The following is a 19,807-nucleotide window of genomic DNA, read 5'->3' as shown; positions in this document are numbered from 1 at the left end:
TAACAAAACTATTTGATTTTGTTTGCCAGCTACATCTAATTATTTTAAATACAGGTTCAGATCATAGATACTAAAGAATATGTTTTTATTAAAATTAATCATTTAGGATTACTATTTGTAATTTTAGCATGCATGTTGTATAACAAAACTGTTTAATTTTGTTTCCTGACTATATCTAATTATTTTGAATACAGGTTCATATCATAGATATTAAATAATATATCTGTTTTTTATTAAAATTAATCATTTAGGATTATTATTTGTAATTTCGGGGTCCATGTTGTGGTGAATTGTGGTGATAGTTCACATTATGAGGCTGCTTGTATAAAGAGGAGCCACAGCATGTAAAGAAATAAAGAGAAAGAAAACCCACATTTTGTGCCAAAAATTCTTTGGAGGGAGAGATGAATAAGTTTAAATAGAGTGGCTGTTATGAAGCTTTTTTTTCCTTAACATTTATAAATTGCTACTTACTGATCTAAAGTAATATTCTGCTAGCATGAAAAAATGTTGTTTTGTTTTTTTGTTTTTTCGTTTGTTTTTTGCTTCTTTTTTTGAGATAGCATCTTGCTCTGTTGCCCAGGCTGAAGTGCAGCGACATGATCATGGCTCACTGCAGCCTCAGCCTCCTGGGCCCAAGTGATCCTCCCACCTCAGCCTCCCAAGTAACTGGGACCACGGGTGTGTGCCACCACACCTGGCTAACTTTTTTATTTTTGTAGAGACAAGATCTCTCTATTTTGCCCAAGCTGGTCTCGAACTCCAGGGCTTAGGTGATCCTCTCGCCTTGGCTGCCCAAAGTGTTGGCATTACAGGTATGAAGATAAAAAAACCTCATGACCAGCCAAAAAACATTGTTAAATAGCTAAAATAATACATACTTATTCTAGATATATATATGTGTGTATATGTTTAAATAGGGTTAAAAATGAATCCTACTTCAGACTTCCTTTCCTCTCCAGAGGTAACAGCAGCTGAGTTTGGTGTTCACTCTGCTGACCATTCTGTCTACTTTATATGTTTACTATATATACACATATATAGTATATATTACATATTATATAGTATATATGCCTGTATTATATAATATATTAAGTAAAGGGGGGGCTTACTTGGTTTTTTAACTTAATTTTTTGAATAAGCAAATGGTTTAGAAATGAGAAACATTTTCTTTTATAGCTACCTAATATGTCATAATATAGATGAAAATGTTATCGGACCATGTTTTTTCTTTTTAAGAAATGAGGGTCTCACTGTGTTATCCAGGCTGGAGTACAGTGGCTATTCACAGGTGCAGTTTAGCACACTATAGCCTCCTGGGTTCAAGTGATCCTGCTGCCTTGGCCTCCTGAATAGATGGGACTACAGGCACATGCCACCATGCCCAGACAGAGCATAATATTTTCCTGGTTTGCCATTTATCTTTTGATGTTGCTTATGATGGGTTTTTGTCATGAGGTTTTCTTTTTTATGTTTTTATAGTCAAATTTTAAATATTTTCTTTTATGGTTGTTATTTAGTGTTACTTAGAAAAGCCTTCCTTACTACATGGTTTTAAAGGAATTTTTCTCCCATGCTTTTATCTGAGAAATTATGAGCATCTTTTTTGAAACCTAAAACTTTTATCCATTTGCAATAGGTATTCTCCCAGTTGTCTTTTTTCTCTATAAGATTTATTGAATAATCTTATCTTTTCATTACTGATTGAGGTGCCACCTTGATTTTGTCCTTTGTGTACTTGAGACTGTTTCTGAATTCTCTAATCTTTTCCAGTTGTCTGTTTATTAACCAGTACCATATTATATTATTATGATAGGTAGTTATTATTATATTATTGAGGCTTTATGATATATTTTAATATCTAATAATGAGTAGCCCTCATTACTCTTTTTCTGTAAGTTTCCTTGGTTATTTTTAAGTCCTGGAGTTTCACATTGGAAAAAATACTCTGCCTAGTTCCCCACACTCCTCCCAGCTCTTCATTAAAAAAAAAAAAAAACAAACAAACAAAAAAAAACACTATGCTGGAATTCTTTAATTTTGTAAATTAGGGATAATTAACCTCTTATGACAATAAGAGTTGAAATTTAAATATCTATATCCCTGTGTAATGATTTTTTAAATTTTTTGTCTTCTAGTGATATCGCCATTTTCTTTTAGTATTGGTGACACCACAGAACTGGAACCATATTTACATGGAGGCATAGCTGTCCAAGTTAAGACTCCTAAAACAGTTTTTTTTGTAAGTATTTTTTTTTCGGCTTAAAAAACATTTTTTTACAGAAAAAGAAAGGCAGAAGAGACAAATAACTACTCAGTTAACCAAACAGATTAAATGTGGAACAGAATTTGTTTTTATTTTTATTTTTTTGTTTGTACCCACTTTGAGGGAAATGGAATTAATCTAATGAAATAAATGAATAAAATGGATATTAACAAAAAACTTACACATCTTTTATAGCCAGAATACCATATACATATAGTTGAGCTAAATGGGTATACCCGAAAGGAACTGTATCTTTGTGAATTATCAAAGAGTTTATCATACTTATTACAATTTACTTTCTAAGACAAGAAATAAAACTAATGTATTTTCAAGATTTAGCAAGAGTTGTTTTGCTTTATTATTATTTAATTTTCTAAAATGAAGATATTCAAATTATACTTGTTAATCCTGGTTTTTAAATTTTAATTTAATTTTATAAATTTCAAAAAACAGTATATATGTTGGAAATGTAAAATAATTTCTAAAAACGACTGGCATTGAAAGCAAAATGTAAATAGCTGAATATAGAGAATGTGGTGTCAGGGAACTAAGGGATCTTGTGCTACTAAAATCCTTGGGCTCCTTCTCAGGATAAGCTAGCACATCTCTGTTTTTTCTTACAAGTTCTCAAGGTTTTAACATAATTGTCTTTTCTTTTCCAGAACTATTAACAACTCCAGTCGTTTACAAGGCTTTGTTCAACCCAAAGTTAGAATTAAAAAAAAAAATTAAAATACTATATCTAGTCAGATGTGCTCCTGCATATCTCCTTATGTTTTGTCTCCAATTTTTAATTGGATATGTCTCAATTTTAGATTGGGTGGGTGTTTTGGGTTTTTTTTAGGGGGGGTTTCATTTGTTTTACCTTTGAGTTCTTCACACAGAATTTAATAAGTCTTGACAACCTGGTATTATAAAAATATGGTAGCTTTTAGATTAAAATAATAAATTTTTTAAAGTATGCAAATGTTTTTACTAATTGTTCCCAAATTTATTATGTAGAGCAGGTTGTTTTATTGCATTTAACTTTTTTTTTTAAGTATGGTCATAATAATGGTAGCTAGTTTATATTTCAGTTAAAACATACCAGCCCAACCCTACTTTATTTCAGACCCTTGGGAGAGTTCCCTAGTTTTTAGCGCACTGACATGTAACAGTATATTTTGTCAAATAATCACTCACTCACTCTGAAGTAATGACTTTTTCCTTCCTATCAGGAATCACTGGAGAGGCAGTTAAAACATCCAAAGTGCCTTATTGTGGATTTTAGCAACCCTGAGGTAAATAAACACTTTGCAGGTTTGAGAGAGGCAGCAGAATCAGAGATGAGAATTAGTGAGTGATTATGAAGTTAAAATGGAATAACCATGTAGGTATCTGGCTGTCGGGCCTTATAATGTGAGTATAATAAAGGTTATACTCACATATCTAAAGTTGACTTCTGAGGATTAAAAATGTGAATTTGTCTCATAGAAAAAAATGATAAAGTAATAGGAAAAAGTTTCACTTTTATAATGATTTGCCAACTTTGATAATTATAAGACGATTTCAATAACTTGTACAAAGATGATCTTATTAAAAGATTTTCTGAATCGTACCATTTTATACAATACATATTTCTTACCAAAAAAGCCTTGAGTATGTATTCTATTTTTTTTTAAAATGGATGTAATTTTGTAGCAGTAAATGTGATAAGGAAGGAACTAACAGTTTCCAAATTTGTAAATTTTAATAAGGAAAGGGGATTAGATCATTTACCTTCATGGCCTTGAGGTTAAGTCATTTAACTTCTAACCTTCAGGTTTCTTATTTGTTAAATAGAGTTAATAACAGTATTAAGCTAATGTGTTTATTATGATGGTTAAATAATGTTTTAAAAGTATTTAGCCCAGTGCCTGGGACATACAACCACTCAGTAAATGTTGGCCGATTTTTAATGTTCTCAATAGGCACCTTTAGAGATTCACACAGCTATGCTTGCCTTGGACCAGTTTCAGGAGAAATACAGTCGCAAGCCAAATGTTGGGTAATGTTTTAAGTTTAAAAATAAGTATTTTCCTTTTTATAAAAGTAGTAGTTCAGAAATTATAATTTAAAAAGTAACTATGCCCTTTGTAATTACAATACCAATAGATATACCAAGCTGTGCAAACATTTATTATGACTTTCTGGTCCTTTTCCTGGTGGGAGTGGAGAAATTTGGTTTATAAAAGTGGAATCATACTAAATGTGAATTTTTCCACTTTGAAGCCTTTAAAAATTAAAGCTTCTTAAAACAAAAAAAATTCTGAGAATTACTGAATTATTAACACATAGTAATTTTTTTTTTAACTTTATATCCTGTTAAGTCAGAGTACTGTTGGAGAAGGTTTTTGCTTTTTATATTTGGGATTAAATCTTGGGATTGGGTGTTGTGGCTCACGCCTATGATCCCAGGACTTTGGGAGGCTGAAGCAGGTGGATCACTTGAGGCCAGGAGTTCAAGACCAGCCTGGCCAACATGGCGAAACCCTGTCTCTGCTAAAAATACAGAAATTACCAGGCGTGGTGGTGCATGCCGGTAATCCCAGCTCCTTGGGAGGCTGAGGCACAAGAATCGCTTGAACCAGGAGGCAGAGGGTGCAGTGAGCCAAGATTGCATCACTGCACTCCAGCCTGGGTGACAGTGAGACTGTCTCAAAAAAAAAAAAACAAAAAAAACTAAACTTATTTATATACTGATATAAGTGTGATTTTGAAGTAATGTATTTATAAGCCAATCATCTTTAAATCAGTACAACATTTTGTGCTACCTGTTGGCAAAAATCCCACATTCTTTTATATATTTCCTAAATTTTAATTTTGAGTATGTCCTACTGTTTATGGCAGTTGAGAAAATTAAAGTTAGGGTGTTCTGTTTTGAGTTGTAGATGCCAACAAGATTCAGAAGAACTGTTGAAACTAGCAACATCTATAAGTGAAACCTTGGAAGAGAAGGTGACTATTGAAATTTATGGCTGTCCGAATATTTGTTTGTTAATACATAAGTGTTCTGTATATTAGTATTCTCTTATCCTTCACATCCAGCTTTGCTACTCTGTGGCATTAGACAACTTTTTTCAGTTTGTTCTGTTTTAATTTATAAATCTATAAAATAGAGTTAACCTACCTTCATAGGGTTATTGTGAACATTAAATAATTTAATTTTGTAAAGTACTTAGAAATGCCATGTGACATATAGTAATTAATATTTGCTGCTATTTTTTTAACTGTTACTATTATTCTTTATTATTCTGTTATGATTTACTTGATTTGTTAACTTAAACTTATATATGTTAGCTTTCTTATATAAGTCACCTGTTTTATATATTATACATTCATATCTCTTTATCACATTTCGTACATCAGATTTAGATTTAAACATTTCACCTAGAAAATGGTTTTTTTGTGTGTGTTATGATGCCAGTGCCTGCTTGTCAACAGTTTTATTTGAGCAGCTATAAACATGGTGATGTTTGTGCAATTATTTGAAGATTCTATTATTTTTGTTCTTATTTTATAAAAATGAGAGGGAACTGTATTAGTCCATTCTCACACTGCTATGAAGAAATCCTGAGGCGGGTTATTTGTAAAGGAAAGAGGTTTAATTGACTCACAGTTCCTCATGGTTGGGGAGGCCTCAGGAAACTTACAATCATGGCAGGAGACAAAGGAGAAGCAGGCACCTCTTCACAGGGTGGCAGGACAGTGTGAGTACAAGCAGGGGAACTGCCAGGTTCTTACAAAACCATCAGATCTCATGAGACTCACTCACTATCACTCACTGATTACCTCCACGTGGTCCTGCCCTTGACATGTGGCAATTATGGGGATAACAATTCAAGATGAGATTTTGGGTGGGGACACAGCCAAAATGTATCATTTCATCCCTGGTACCCCCTGAATCTCATGTACTCACGTTTCAAAACACAGTCACACCTTTCCAACAGTCCCCCAAAGTCTTAGCTCATTCCAGCATTAATCCAGAAGTCCATGTCCAAAGTCTTATCTGAGCAAGGCAAGTCCCTTCCACCTATGAGCCTGTAAAATCAGAAGCAAGTTAGTTACTTCCTAGATACAGTGAGGGTACAGACATTAGATAAATGCTTCCATTCCAAATGGGAGAAATTGGACAAAACAAAGGGACTTCAGGCCCCATGCACTATAAAATCCCATAGGGCAATCATTAAATCTTAAGGTTCCAAAATGATCTTCTTTGACTCCATGTCTCACATCCAGGTCACGCTGATGCAAGAGGTGGGTTCCCATGGTCTTGGGCAGCTTCACCCTGTGGTTATGCAAGGTACAGCCCCCCTTCCGACTGCTTTCATGAGTTGGCATTGAGTGTTGCAGCTTTTCCGGATTCATGGTCCAAGCTTTCGTTGGATCTACCATTCCGGGATCTGGAGGACTGTGGCACTCTTCTCACAGCTCTACTAGGCAGTGCCAATGGGGACTCTCTGTGGGGGCTCCAACCCCACATTATCCTTCTGCACTGCCTTAGCAAGAAGTTCTCCATGAGGGCCCCACCCCTGCAGTAAACTTCTACCTGGACATCCAGGTGTTTTCATACATCCTCTAAAAGCTAGGCAGAGGTTCCCAAATCTCGCTTGACTTCTGTGCACCCACAGCCCAACACCATGTGTAAGCCACCAAGGCTTAGGGCTTGTCCCCTCTGAAGCAACAGCCTGAGCTGTACATTGGCCCCTTTTAGCCACAGCTGGGACACAGGGCACCATGTCCTGACACTGCACAAAGTAGCAAGGCCCTGGGCCCACCCCACAAAACCATTTTTTCCTATTAGGCCTCCAGGTCTGTGATGGGAGCAGCTTCCTTGAAGACCTCTGACATTCCCTGGAGACATTTTCCCATTGTCTTGGCAATTAACATTTGGCTGCTTGTTATTTATGGAAATTTCTGCAGCTGACTTGAATTTCTCCTCAGAAAATGGATTTTTCTTTTCTATTGTATCATCAGGCTGCAAATTTTCCAAACTTTTATGCTCTGCTTCTCTTTTAAACATAAATTCCAATTCCAAACCATCTTTTTGTGAATGCATAAAACTTAATGCTTTTAAGAGCACCCAAGTCACCCCTTGAATGCTTTGCTGCTTAGACATTTCTCTACCAGATACCCTAAATCATCTCTCTCAAGTTCAACTTTCCACAGATCTCTAGGGCAGGGGCAAAATGCCACCAGTCTCTTTACTAAAGCATAATAAGAGTCACCTTTATTCTAGTCCCAACAGGTTCCTCGTCTCCATCTGAGACCGCCTCAGGCTGGACTTCATTGTCCATATCACTATCAGCATTTTGGTCAAAACTGATAAGTTCCAAACTTTCCCACATCTTCCTTTCTTACGAGCCCTCCAAACTATTCCAACCTCTGCGTTTTCCAGTTCCAAAGTCACTTCCACACTTTTGGGTATCTTTATCTCAGCACCCCACTCTCTACAGTACCAATTTACTGTATTAGTCTGTTGTCACACTGCATATGCTATATAAAATATATGTATTTTATATATTCCTATATAAAATACCCAGTTTTGGGTATTTTATATAGGAAAGAGGTAATTGACTCACAGTTTCACATGACTGGGGAGGCCTCAGGAAACTATACCATCATGGCAGAAGGCACAGGAGAAGCAGGCAGCTTCTTCACAGGGTGGCAAGACAGAGTGAGTGCAAGCAGGGGATCTACCAGACGCTTATAAAACTGTCAGATCTCGTGAAACTCACTATCATCAGAACAGCATGGGAGAACCACCCCCACCATCCAGTTACTTCCACCTGGTCCCACCTTGACATGTGGTGATTATGGGGATTACAATTCAAGATGAGATTTTGGGTGGTGACACAGCCAAACCATCTCAGGAAGTGAGAGTCTTAACATCAGTGGTAAAAGCTTTAATATCATATGTTCTATAATTACACAAAGAAAGAAATAATAAATGTACTGAAAACAGTGACTCACTAGCCATAATGAAAGACCTTTTATTGCATATATAGTGCTTTGAGAAAATAAAATGTATGAAAAGCTAGAAATAGATTGTAGAAGTCTGTGATTAAACAGAAGAATGTGATTAGGGATTTATCAAGTTTATTGATGGGAAATTTACATAAAGTAAATTTTTCACTCTTTGGGTGTGTAGTTATAAAAAATTTTGTACACAATCAATTCAGATGTACGCAGTTAATTCAAAGTGTACAGTAATGGGTCCACCACTACAATCAAATGTAAACCATTCCGTAATGCAAAAAAGTTCCCTCAGGCCTTTTTATAATTACCTCCCTAGCCCATAACCAAACCTTAGCATCCACTATAGATTTTTTCTTTTCTAGAATGTCATATAAATGGAATCATATAGTATGTGTAGTCTTTTGAGTCTGGTTTCTATCACTAAATATAATTAACTTGAGTTTTATCCATTTTGTTACATGTTCATTTCATTTTTTTTAACTTTTAACTTTAGGGTTACATGTACAAGTTTGTTATATAGGTAAATTTGCATCATGGGGGTTTGTCATACATATTATTTCATCACCCAGGTATTAAGCCTAGTACCTGTTAGTCATTTCCGCCCCCTCTTCCCACCCTCCAGTAGGCCCCAGTGCGTGTTGTTCCCCTCAGTGTATCCATGTGTTCTCATCATTTAGCTTCCACTTCTAAGTGAGAACACGTGGTATTTGGTTTTCTGTTTCATTGTGTAGATGTACTACAGTTTGTTTTTACATCACTTGATGGAAGATATGGGCTGTTTTCAGTCTGAGCAATTATGAATACAGTTATTACAAATACTTGCATATAGATTTTGATGTGGACATATATCTTTGTTTCTCTTATATACCTACCCTACCTACTTGGTTCCAAGTTTGCTATAGTGAATAGTGCCACAATAAACATACGTGTGAATTTGTCTTTATAGTAGCATGATTTATAATCCTTTGGGTGTATACCCAGTAATGGCATTCCTGGGTCAAATGGTATTTCTAGTTCTAGATCCTTGAGGAATTGCCACACTATCTTCCACAATGGTTTAACTGATTTACACTCCCACCAACAGTGTAAAAGCGTTCCTGTTTCTCCACATCCTCTCCAGCATCTGTAGTTTCCTTTTTAATGATCGCCATTCTAACTGGCATGAGATGGTATCTCATTGTGGTTTTGATTTGCATGTCTCTGATGACCAGTGATGATGAGCATTTTTGCATGTGTCTGGTGGCTGAATAAATGTCTTCTTTTGAGAAGTGTCTATTCATATCCTTTGCCCACTTTTTGATGGGGTTGTTTGTTTTTTGTTTTCTTTTTTTTTTTTTTTTTGTAAATTTGTTTAAGTTCTTTGTAGATTCTGGATATTAGCCCTTTGTCAGATGGGTAGATTGCAAAAATTTTCTCCCATTCTGTAGGTTGCTGTTCACTCTGATGATAGTTTCTTTTGCTGTGCAGAAGCTCTTTAGTTTAATTAGATCCCATTTGTCAATTTTGGCTTTTGTTGCCATTGCTTTTGGTGTTTTAGTCATGAAGTCTTCCTCCATGCCTATGTTCTGAATGGTATTGCCTAGGTTTTCTTCTAGGGTTTTTATAGTTTTAGATCTTACATTTAATTCTTTAATCCATCTTGAGTTAATTTTTCTATAAGGTGTAAGGAAGGGATCCAGTTTCAGCTTTCTACATATGGCTAATCCCAGCACCATTTATTAAATAGGGAATCCTTTCCCCATTTCTTGTTTTTGTCAGGTTTCTCAAAGATCAGATGGTTGTAGATGTGTGGTGTTATTTCTGAGGCCTCTGTTCTGTTCCATTGGTCTCTATGTCTGTTCTGGTACCAGTACCATGCTGTTCTGGTTACTGTAGGCTTAAAGTATAATTTGAAGTCAGATAGTATGATGCTTCCAGCTTTGTTCTCTTTGCTTAGGATTGTCTTGGCTATGCAGGCTCTTTTGTGGTTCCATATGAACTTTAAAGTAGTTTTTTTCCACTTCTGTGAAGAAAGTCATTGGTAGCTTGATGGGGATGGCATTGAGTCTATAAATTACCTTGGGCAGTATGGGCGTTTTAATGATATTGATTCTTCCTATCCATGAGCATGGAATGTTCTTCCATTTGTTTGTGTCCTCTTTTATTTCGTTGAGCAGTGGGTTGTACTTCTCCTTGAGGAGGTCCTTCACATTCCTTGTAAGTTGGATTCCTAGGTATTTTATTCTCTTTGTAGCAATTGTGAATGAAAGTTCACTCACAGTTTGGCTATCTCTTTGTCTATAATTGGTGTATAGGAATGCTTGTGATTTTTGCACATTGATTTTGTATCCTGAGACTTTGCTGAAGTTGCTTATCAGCTTAAGGAGATTTTGGGCTGAGATGTTGGGGTTTTCTAAATATACAATCAGGTCATCTGCAAACAGAGACAATTTGACTTCCTCTTTTCCTAATTGAATACCCTTTATTTCTTTCTCTTGCCTGATTGCCCTGGCGAGAACTTCCAAGACTATGTTGAATAGGAGTGGTGAGAGAGGGCATCCTTGTCTTGTACCAGTTTTCCAAGGGAATGCTTCCAGTTTTTGCCCATTCAGTATGATATTGGCTGTGGGTTTGTCATAAATAGCTCTTATTATTTTGAGGTAACGTTTCATCAATACCTAGTTCATTGAGAGTTTTTAGCATGAAAGGCTGTTGAATTTTTTGAAGGCCTTTTCTGCACCTATTGAGATAATCATGTGGTTTTTGTCGTTGGTTCTGTTTATGTGATAGATTACATTTATTGATTTGCATATGTTGAACCAGCCTTGCATCCCAGGGCTGAAGCCGAGTTGATCATGTTGGATAAGCTTTTTGATGTGCTGCTGGATTCAGTTTGCCAGTATTTTATTTTTGCATCAATGTTCACCAGGGATATTGGCCTAAAATTCCCTTTTTTTGTTGTATCTCTGCCAGGCTTTGGTATCAGGGGATGCTGGCCTCATAAAATGAGTTAGGGAGGATTCCCTCTTTTTCTGTTCATTGGAATACTTTCAGAAGGAATGGTACCAGCTCCTCCTTGTACCTCTGGTAGAATTCGGCTTTGAATCCGTCTGGTCCTGGACTCTTTTTGGTTGGTAGGCTATTAATTATTGCCCCAATTTCAGAACCTGTTATTGTTCTATTCAGAGATTCAACTTTTTCTGGTTTAGTCTTGGGAGGGTGTATGTGTCCAGGAATTTATCCGTTTCTTGTAGATTTTCTAGTTTATTTGCATAGAGGGGCTTATAGTATTCTCTGATGGTAGTTTGTATTTCTGTGGGATTGATGGTGATATCCCCTTTATCATTTTTTACTGCATCTATTTGATTCTTCTCTCTTTTCTTCTTTATTAGTCTTGCTAGCAGTCTATCAATTTGTTGATCTTTTCAAAACACCAGCTCCTGGATTCATTGATTTTTTGAAGGGTTTTTTGTGTCTCTATCTCCTTCAGTTCTCCTCTGATCTTAGTTGTTTCTTGCCTTCTGCTAGCTTTTGTATTTGTTTGCTGTTGCTTCTCTAGTTCTTTTAATTGTGATGTTAAGGTGTCGATTTTAGATCTTTCCTGCTTTCTCTTGTGGGCATTTAGTGCTATAAATTTCCCTCTACACACTGCTTTGAATGTGTCTCAGAGATTCTGGTATGTTGTGTCTTTGTTCTCATTGGTTTCAAAGAACATCTTTATTTCTACCTTCATTTCATTATTTACCCAGTAGTCATTGAGGAGCAGGTTGTTCAGTTTCCATGTAGTTGTGCGGTTTTGAGTGAGTTTCTTAATCCTGAGTTCTAATTTGATTGCACTGTAGTCTGAGAGCAGTTTGTTGTGATTTCTGTTCTTTTACATTTGCTGAGGAGTGTTTTACTTCCAATTATGTGGTCAATTTTAGAATAAGTGCGATGTAGTGCTGAGAAGAATGTATATTTTGTTGATTTGGGGTGGAGAGTTTGTAGATGTCTATTAGGTCCACTTGGTGCAGAGCTGAGTTCAAGTCCTGGATATCCTTGTCAACCTTCTGTCTTGTTGCCCTGTCTAATGTTGACAGTGGGGTGTTAAAGTCTCCCATTATTATTGTGTGGGAGTCTAAGTCTTTGTAGGTCTCTACGGACTTGCTTTATGAATCAGGGTGCACCTGTATTGGGTGCATATATATTTAGAATAGTTAGCTCTTCTTGTTGAATTGATCCCTTTACCATTATGTAATGGCCTTCTTTGTCTCTTTTGATCTTTGTTGGTTTAAAGTCTGTTTTATCAGAGACTAGGATTGCAACCCTTGCTTTTTTTTTTTTTTTCTTTCCATTTGCTTGGTAGATCTTCCTCCATCCCTTTATTTTGAGACTATGGGCCTCTTTGCACGTGAGATGGGTCTCGTGAATACAGCACGCTGATGGGTCTTGACTCTTTATCCAATTTGCCAGTCTGTGTCTTTTAATTGGGGTATTTAGCCCATTTACATTTAAGGTTAATATTGTTATATGTGAATTTGATCCCATCATTATGATGTTAGCTGGTTTTTTTGCCCGTTAATTGATGCAATTTCTTCATAGCATCAATGGTCTTTTCCATTTGGCATGTTTTTGCAGTGGCTGGTACCAGTTATTCCTTTCCATGTTTGTGCCTCCTTCAAGAGCTCTTGTAAGGCAGGTCTGGTGGTGACAAAATCTCTCAGTATTTGCTTGTCTGTAAAGGATTTTATTTCTCCTTCACTTATGAAGCTTAGTTTGGCTGGGTGTGAAATTCTGGGATGAAAATTCTTTTCTTTAACAATGTTGAATATTGGCCCCCACTCTCTTCTGGCATGGAGGGTTTCTGCCAAGAGATCCGCTGTTAGTCTGATGGACTTCCCTTTGTGGGTAACCCAATCTCTCTCTCTGGCTGCCTTTAACATTTTTTCCTTCATTTTATCCTTGGTGAATCTGACAATTATGTGTCTTGGGGTTGCTCTTCTCGAGGAGTATCTTTGTGTTGTTCTCTGTATTTCCTGAATTTGAATGTTGGCCTGCCTTGCTAGGTTGGAGAAGTTCTTCTGGATAATACCCTGAAGAGTGTTTTCTAAGTTGGTTCCATTCTCCCTGTCACTTTTAGTTACACCAGTCAAACGCAGATTTGGTCTTTTCACATAGTCCCATATTTCTTGGAGGCTTTGTTCATTTCTTTTTACTCTTTTTTCTCTAATCTTGTCTTCTTGCTATATTTTATTAATCTGATCTTCAATCACTGATATCCTTTCTTCCATTTGATCGAATCAGCTATTGAAGCTTGTGCATGCATCGTGAAGTTCTCGTGCTGTGGTTTTCAGCTCCATCAGGTCATTTAAGGTCTTCTCTACACTGTTTATTCTAGTTAGCAATTCTTCTAACCCTTTTTCAAGGTTTTTAGCTTCCTTGCAATGGGTTAGAACATGCTCCTTTAGCTCGGAGAAGTTTGTTATTACCAACCTTCTGAAGCCTACTTCTGTCAGCTCATCAAAGTCATTCTCCATCCAGTTTTGTTCCGTTGCTGGCGAGGATCTCCAATCCTTTGGAGGAGAAGAGGCACTCTGGTTTTTAGAATTTTTGGCTTTTCTGCTCTGGTTTCTCCCCATCTTTGTATTTTTACCTACTTTTGGTCTTTGATGTTGGTGACCTACAGATGGCGTTTTGGTGTGGATGTCCTTTTTGTTGATGTTGATGCTATTCCTTTCTGTTTGTTAGTTTTCCTTCTAACAGTCAGGCCCCTCAACTGCAGGTCTGTTGGAGTTTGCTGGAGGTCCACTCCAGACCCTGTTTGCCTGGGTATCACCAGCGGAGGCTGCAAAACAGCAAATATTGCTGCCTGATCCTTCCTCTGGAAGCTTCGTCCCAGAGGGGCACCCACCTGTATGAGGTGTCTGTCGGCCCCTACTGGGAGGTGTTTCCCAGTCAGTCTACATGGGGGTCAGGGACCCAATTGAGGAGGCAGTCTGTCTGTTCTCAGAGCTTGAACGCCATGCTATGAGAACCACTGCTCTCTTCAGTGCTGTCAGACAGGGACATTTAAGTCTGCAGAAGTTGTCTGCTGCCTTTTGTTTAGCTAAGCCCTGCCCACAGAGGTTGAGTCTATAGAGGCAGTAGGCCTTGCTGAGCTGGGGTGGGCTCCACTCAGTTCAAGCTTACCAGCTGCTTTGTTTACCTACTCAAGCCTCAGCAATGGCGGACACCTGTATGCCCGCCAGGCTGCAGCCTCGCAGGTGGATCTCAGACTGCTGCGCTAGCAGTGAGCAAGGCTCCATGGGCGTGGGATCCACCAAGCCAGGCACAGGAGAGAATCTCCTGGTCTGCCGGTTGCTAAGATGGTGAGGAAAGTGCAGTATTTGGGCGGAAGTGTACCGTTTTTCCAAGGATAGTCTGTCATGGCTTCCCTTGGCTAGGAAAGGGAAATCCCCTGACCCCTTGTGCTTCCTGGGTGAGGTGACATACCGCCCTGCTTCGGCTCGCCCTCCATGGGCTGCACCCACTGTCCAACCAGTTCCAGTGGGATGAACCAGATACCTCAGTTGGAAATGCTGAAATCACCTGTCTTCTGCATCGATCTCGCTGGGAGCTGCAGACGAGCTGTTCCTATTCGGCCATCTGGGAGGACCAAGACCATGTTTAATTTTATAAGAAACTGCCAAACTGTTTTGCAAAGTAGCTGTACCGTTTTGTATTCTCACCAGAAGTGTATGAGAATTTCAGTTGTGCTGCATCTTCCTTACACTCTGTGTTGTCTGTTTATATGATTTTAAACATTTTTATGTGTGTGGTAGTATCTCATTTTGGTTTTCATTTTCATATCACTGGCCATGAATTTGAATATCTTTTAATATGCTTATTTGCCATTCATATGTCTTCTTTAATAAACTGTCTTTTGAAATCTTTGCCTGTTTTTAAAATAGCTTTTAATTATTGGTTGAGAGGGTTTTTATATGTCTTTATATATTTGGATATGAGTTCTTTATCAGATACGTGTTTTACAATAGTCTCTGAAATTCAATTTATCAAATCACAAAAAGAATACTTTTTGTGGTTTGTGCTTTTTTGTCTTAAGAGCTTTTTTAACACAGGGTCAAAAAGCTGTTTTCTTCTAGACAATTCATATTTTTGTAATTTTATAAGTTCATTTTTGCATATGGTGCAAAGTATTGATAAAGACATGATCATACAAAGTACAGATCAGTGTACATGACTTTACACTAATTTTATGCACTCTTTTGTAGTTTTATGAGTTTGTCTTTATATACTGCACAAAGTATAGATGAAAGTTAATTTTTTTGTGTATGAATGTCCAGCTATTCTAGCCCATTTGTTGAAAAGGCTATTCTTTATTGAAATGTCATGGCATTTTTGTCAACAGTTTTTTTTAACCATATATATGTAGGTCTATTTCTGTACTCTATTGTCTTCATGTTGTTTCTGTCCTTTTGCCAGCTCCATCCTGTCTTGCTTATTGTGGCTTTTATATTAAGTCTTGAAGTCAGGTTTAGTCTGTTTCTCAAAAAGAGCTCAGAATTATGGTATTCCCTGAGTTTTTATATGTTTCATATTTTTTCTGTAGTTTTCATACTTGTAAGCTTGGCTAGATGTAAAATTCTGGGCTCTTACTTTGTTCACTGGTATCTTGCTTTATATTTTACTGTTGAAAAATCAGATGGCAGCCGAATTTTCATACTGTTAGAAGTAATCTGGTCTTTTTGCTTTAAGGCCCTATGTGTTTAATCTTTGTCTTCATCTAATAGTTTTACCAGGTTATATCTCAGAGTTGATTATTCAGTAAAGTTTCTTACGTACACCATAAGCCCATTTTGATATGCAGAGTCAAATGTTGTTTAAGTATTTCTTTTCTTTTCTGGAAGGGTAGAATGGATCATTTCTGTTCTTAGTTTTTAAATTCCTGATTCAAGGTTTTTTGTGTTGTTTTTTTCCCCTACGTTGCCAAGTGCTTGTTAAGAATATGTAATTCACTTAAATATCCTCTGACTTTTGGTTAGTTGTGGGGGTGTGGATTTTCAGTAGCTGAAATGTTTTGATTCTGGTTTTCTGTTTTCTTCTTACATTAGCTTTGTAAAGTAGAATGCTTTTTGTGCTTACTTTTTGGACAGGATAAGGGTTTTAGGTGCTTTTTAGATTCCTACTTTTGTAGTATTCTCTTCTCTTAGGATACTGAAAAGGAGCTTCTAATGGATGACCTTTTTGTGGTGGAGAGGTATTGGTGTGTTTTGTAGGTCTCTTTGATTTTTACCAAACTCTTAACATCTCTCTCTTTAGCTTTCTCTCTCAAAGAATGTCTCCCCTCTTTTGTTTACATCTTTCTCTCCCAGGATGACATTCTTTGACAGCTGATATCTGCCACCAGTTTTATACCTCTCATCAATATTTTCTGCACTTAGTGTGGGTCTTTCTTTTTCTTAGGACTGTGTTTTGTTACCATAAGGCCTTTCACTCTCTTCTGTGATCTCTTCGTATTTTCTGCTCTCTGTCCGAGATTGTAACAATGTGAAATCCAGAGAGAGTGCTGATGGAGTTTGCAATCTGTCTTTCTACTTACAAGTAATTTGAAATTTATAATATTCTGTTTTCTAGTAATACTGAAGCCCTGTCACTGTTTTATTTCTCTTCTTGTGATTATGCATATGTTTTGGAGATTATTTGGGGAAATTTAGCTATAGGCTGCCGTCTTTATCCTATGGTAACCAAAAATTCCCAAAATTTAGATGTTTGTGTACTAAAAAATAAGGAATCCTGGGAGGTTGCATAACCTAATGCTGAGAATAAACCTATAAAGTTGGACTTTTTCGGTCCAGATCCTGGCTTCACCATTTACTAGCTATAAAATATTGAATAAGTTACTTAATTTTTCAATGTTTCAGTTTTCTTACTTGTATAATAGAAATTATATTTATAAGGATTATTTTGAAGGTTGTGTAAGGACTTAATAGATAACCTGGCATGGTAAGTACCCACTTATACTGTTATTATCATTCTCATCATTGTTTTTAATATTATCACCACCAACAATATCTGCATTCAAAAATTGCAGAATTTAAATTGTAATTGATCTTGGTTGAGGCTAGTGCTCAATAGTTGTAAATAATGAGATATAGAAAGTTGAAATGGAGGGGTGGAATAGTAAGTAGTAACCATTTTGTGTCACAAATATTTTTGAGAGTGTAATAAAAACTCTTCTCTGTCCTCTCCTCTGTGTACAAGAACTCTTCTTTTACATAGGATTTCAAAAGATTAATTAGGCAAACTTGAAGTTTAGTGATAAAATTAAGATTACTAATGTTTAAAGAATAAGAAGAGAAAGAAAACAGGGCTCGTGAAAAGATCTTTGTCACATATAAGAAATTGCTGAAATAATAGATCTAAAATTCAGTTTTCCAATATTTCCTTTAAAATGTTCTGTTTTGAGATACATAACTTTTAAGTGTAATTGAAAACATTATCTCTAAGTGTATTGTGTTATTATTAATTGCAGTTTTTATTTACAACTTTCAACACAAACTGATAGCTTATCATTTTTAAGATCATTTTATTTTCCTTTATCATAGTTCAGGGTTTTTTCATAGTAGTTTTCATTAACAAACTTTTTAAATTAAAAAAAATCTGTTTATTTGTAAATATGTCTGACTGGCATCACAGAACTGTTCTTTGACAAAAACTATAAATGGTAGATATTCGAGTTAATTATAAATGATGCCCTAGAGTGACATATAGAATCCAAAGACAAAAATGGGCAGATACTAGTAAAGGGAGACACTACTTAAGGTAACACGCAAATGGGTCTGTTATCATGAAATTGGGACATTTTTAGAGATATTTAGTAGGGGAACTGAATAGCTTTTTTAGAAGTTAAGTTCTAATTCTCACATTTAGTCATTGGAATTTTAAGTGTACTGTGTAAATGCTGTTAATGTTATTGTCTTTTATGGCTTTTGTTTTAGCCTGATGTAAATGCTGACATTGTGCATTGGCTCTCTTGGACTGCCCAAGGCTTTTTATCTCCACTTGCTGCAGCAGTAGGAGGTGTTGCCAGCCAAGAAGTATTGAAAGCTGTAACAGGAAAATTTTCTCCTTTGTGCCAGTGGGTTAGTTCTGAGTTTTTAAAGTTGAATTCTTTACTCGTGAAATGGAATGTGTTACATATTATAATGTAGTATTAATATATTAGAAAAGCGACCTTAAAATACTTTTTGATGCATGAAAGAGATGCAAGCAGTATGCCTCCAACACTTGATTCTATGATTGAAATTAACAGGATGATATTTTAGGGCTATTGAGATATAACCCAAAGTTGCCTTCTCAAATATATTTCCCTTAGTTGTGATAGTAAGGGAATGAATGTTCTATCCTTATAGGTAATTGTTCTCCAGTACCATAAGCTTAGCATTCTCGGGCTCTCAGGACTCTTGAATTTGTTCCATGGAATCTTTTACTATCATGAACGTTCAGGTTCCCTTTCTAGGTATAAACTTACAAAAGTGGAAAACATGGGAGTGGTACAGGTTTTAGAGTTACATGGGGTATGAACATCACAAGATGGAATAAAAATCCCCATTTCTTTTGCCAGCAGAAATAATTGGCACAAGGTGTGAAAGGATACTGCCTCCAGGCCCTCTCTCTGTTGAAACACCATAAACATTTTGAATATACCATTTATCTTTTTTTTTTAATTTTTTTTTTTTTTTGAGACAGAGTCTCACACTGTTACCCAGGCTGGAGTGCAATGGCGCGATGTTAGCTCACTGCAACCTCTGTCTGCCGGGTTCACGCGATTCTCCTGCCTCAGCCTCCCAAGTAGCTGGGGTTACAGATGCAGACCACCACACTTGGCTAACTTTTTGTGTTTTTAGTAGAGATGGGATTTCATTATGTTGGCCAGACTGGTCTCAAACTCCTGACTTCGTGATCCACCCGCCTCGGCCTCCCAAAGTGCTGGGATTACAGGCGTGAGCCACTGCGCCCGGCTCATTTTTTTATATTTTAAAAGGTACTCACATAATGCTATTTTTGCTGCTGAATTATTTATTTCAACACAGAATACAAGTACATTAGTAAAAATCTGGTTTAAAGATGACCGTTAAGGCAGGCGCAGTGGCTCATGCCTGTAATCCTAGCACTTTGAGCAGCCGAGGCGGGCAGATCACGAGGTCAGGAGATCAAGACCATCCTGGCTAACATGGTGAAACCCCTTCTGTACTAAAAATACAAAAAATTAGCCGGGCATGGTGGCACGCCCCTGTAGTCCCAGCTACTCGGGAGGCTGAGGCAGGAGAATCGCTTGAACCTGGGAGGCGGAGGTTGTAGTGAGCCGAGATTGTGCCACTGCACTCCAGCCTGGGCGACAGAGTGAGACTCTGTCTCAAAAAAAAAAAAAAAACACCATGAGAAATAATAGAAATTAATTGTTAATATAGATTCTGTGTTATAATAAAATAAATAACCATTTGTTCATGTTCAAATTTAGCCACACAAGTTACTTAAATGAAAATGAGATTAAGACTCAGTTCTTTTCTTCATTAACTTAAATTA

The 19,807-nt window shown here is 36.7% G+C and overlaps 1 protein-coding gene across 3 annotated transcripts in view; it reads left to right on the top strand.

Annotated features, from left to right (window-relative positions):
- The window catches only part of UBA6 (ubiquitin like modifier activating enzyme 6), an 88,504-nt gene that overhangs the window by 33,725 nt on the left and 34,972 nt on the right, over window positions 1-19,807 (top strand). For all 3 annotated transcript variants that reach the window (NM_018227.6, XM_017008359.3, XM_047415893.1), the window contains exons 10-14: window positions 2,139-2,242; window positions 3,484-3,546; window positions 4,216-4,292; window positions 5,176-5,242; window positions 18,220-18,363. In NM_018227.6, coding sequence (NP_060697.4) covers window positions 2,139-2,242; window positions 3,484-3,546; window positions 4,216-4,292; window positions 5,176-5,242; window positions 18,220-18,363 — 455 coding nt within the window. The remainder of the gene's footprint in view (window positions 1-2,138; window positions 2,243-3,483; window positions 3,547-4,215; window positions 4,293-5,175; window positions 5,243-18,219; window positions 18,364-19,807) is intronic.

The sequence above is a fragment of the Homo sapiens genome, chromosome 4 (genome assembly GCF_000001405.40).
Source record: "Homo sapiens chromosome 4, GRCh38.p14 Primary Assembly".
NCBI lineage: Eukaryota > Metazoa > Chordata > Mammalia > Primates > Hominidae > Homo > Homo sapiens.
The sequence above is the reverse complement of the archived record's forward strand: the minus strand, read 5'-3'. Positions and strand labels throughout refer to the sequence as shown.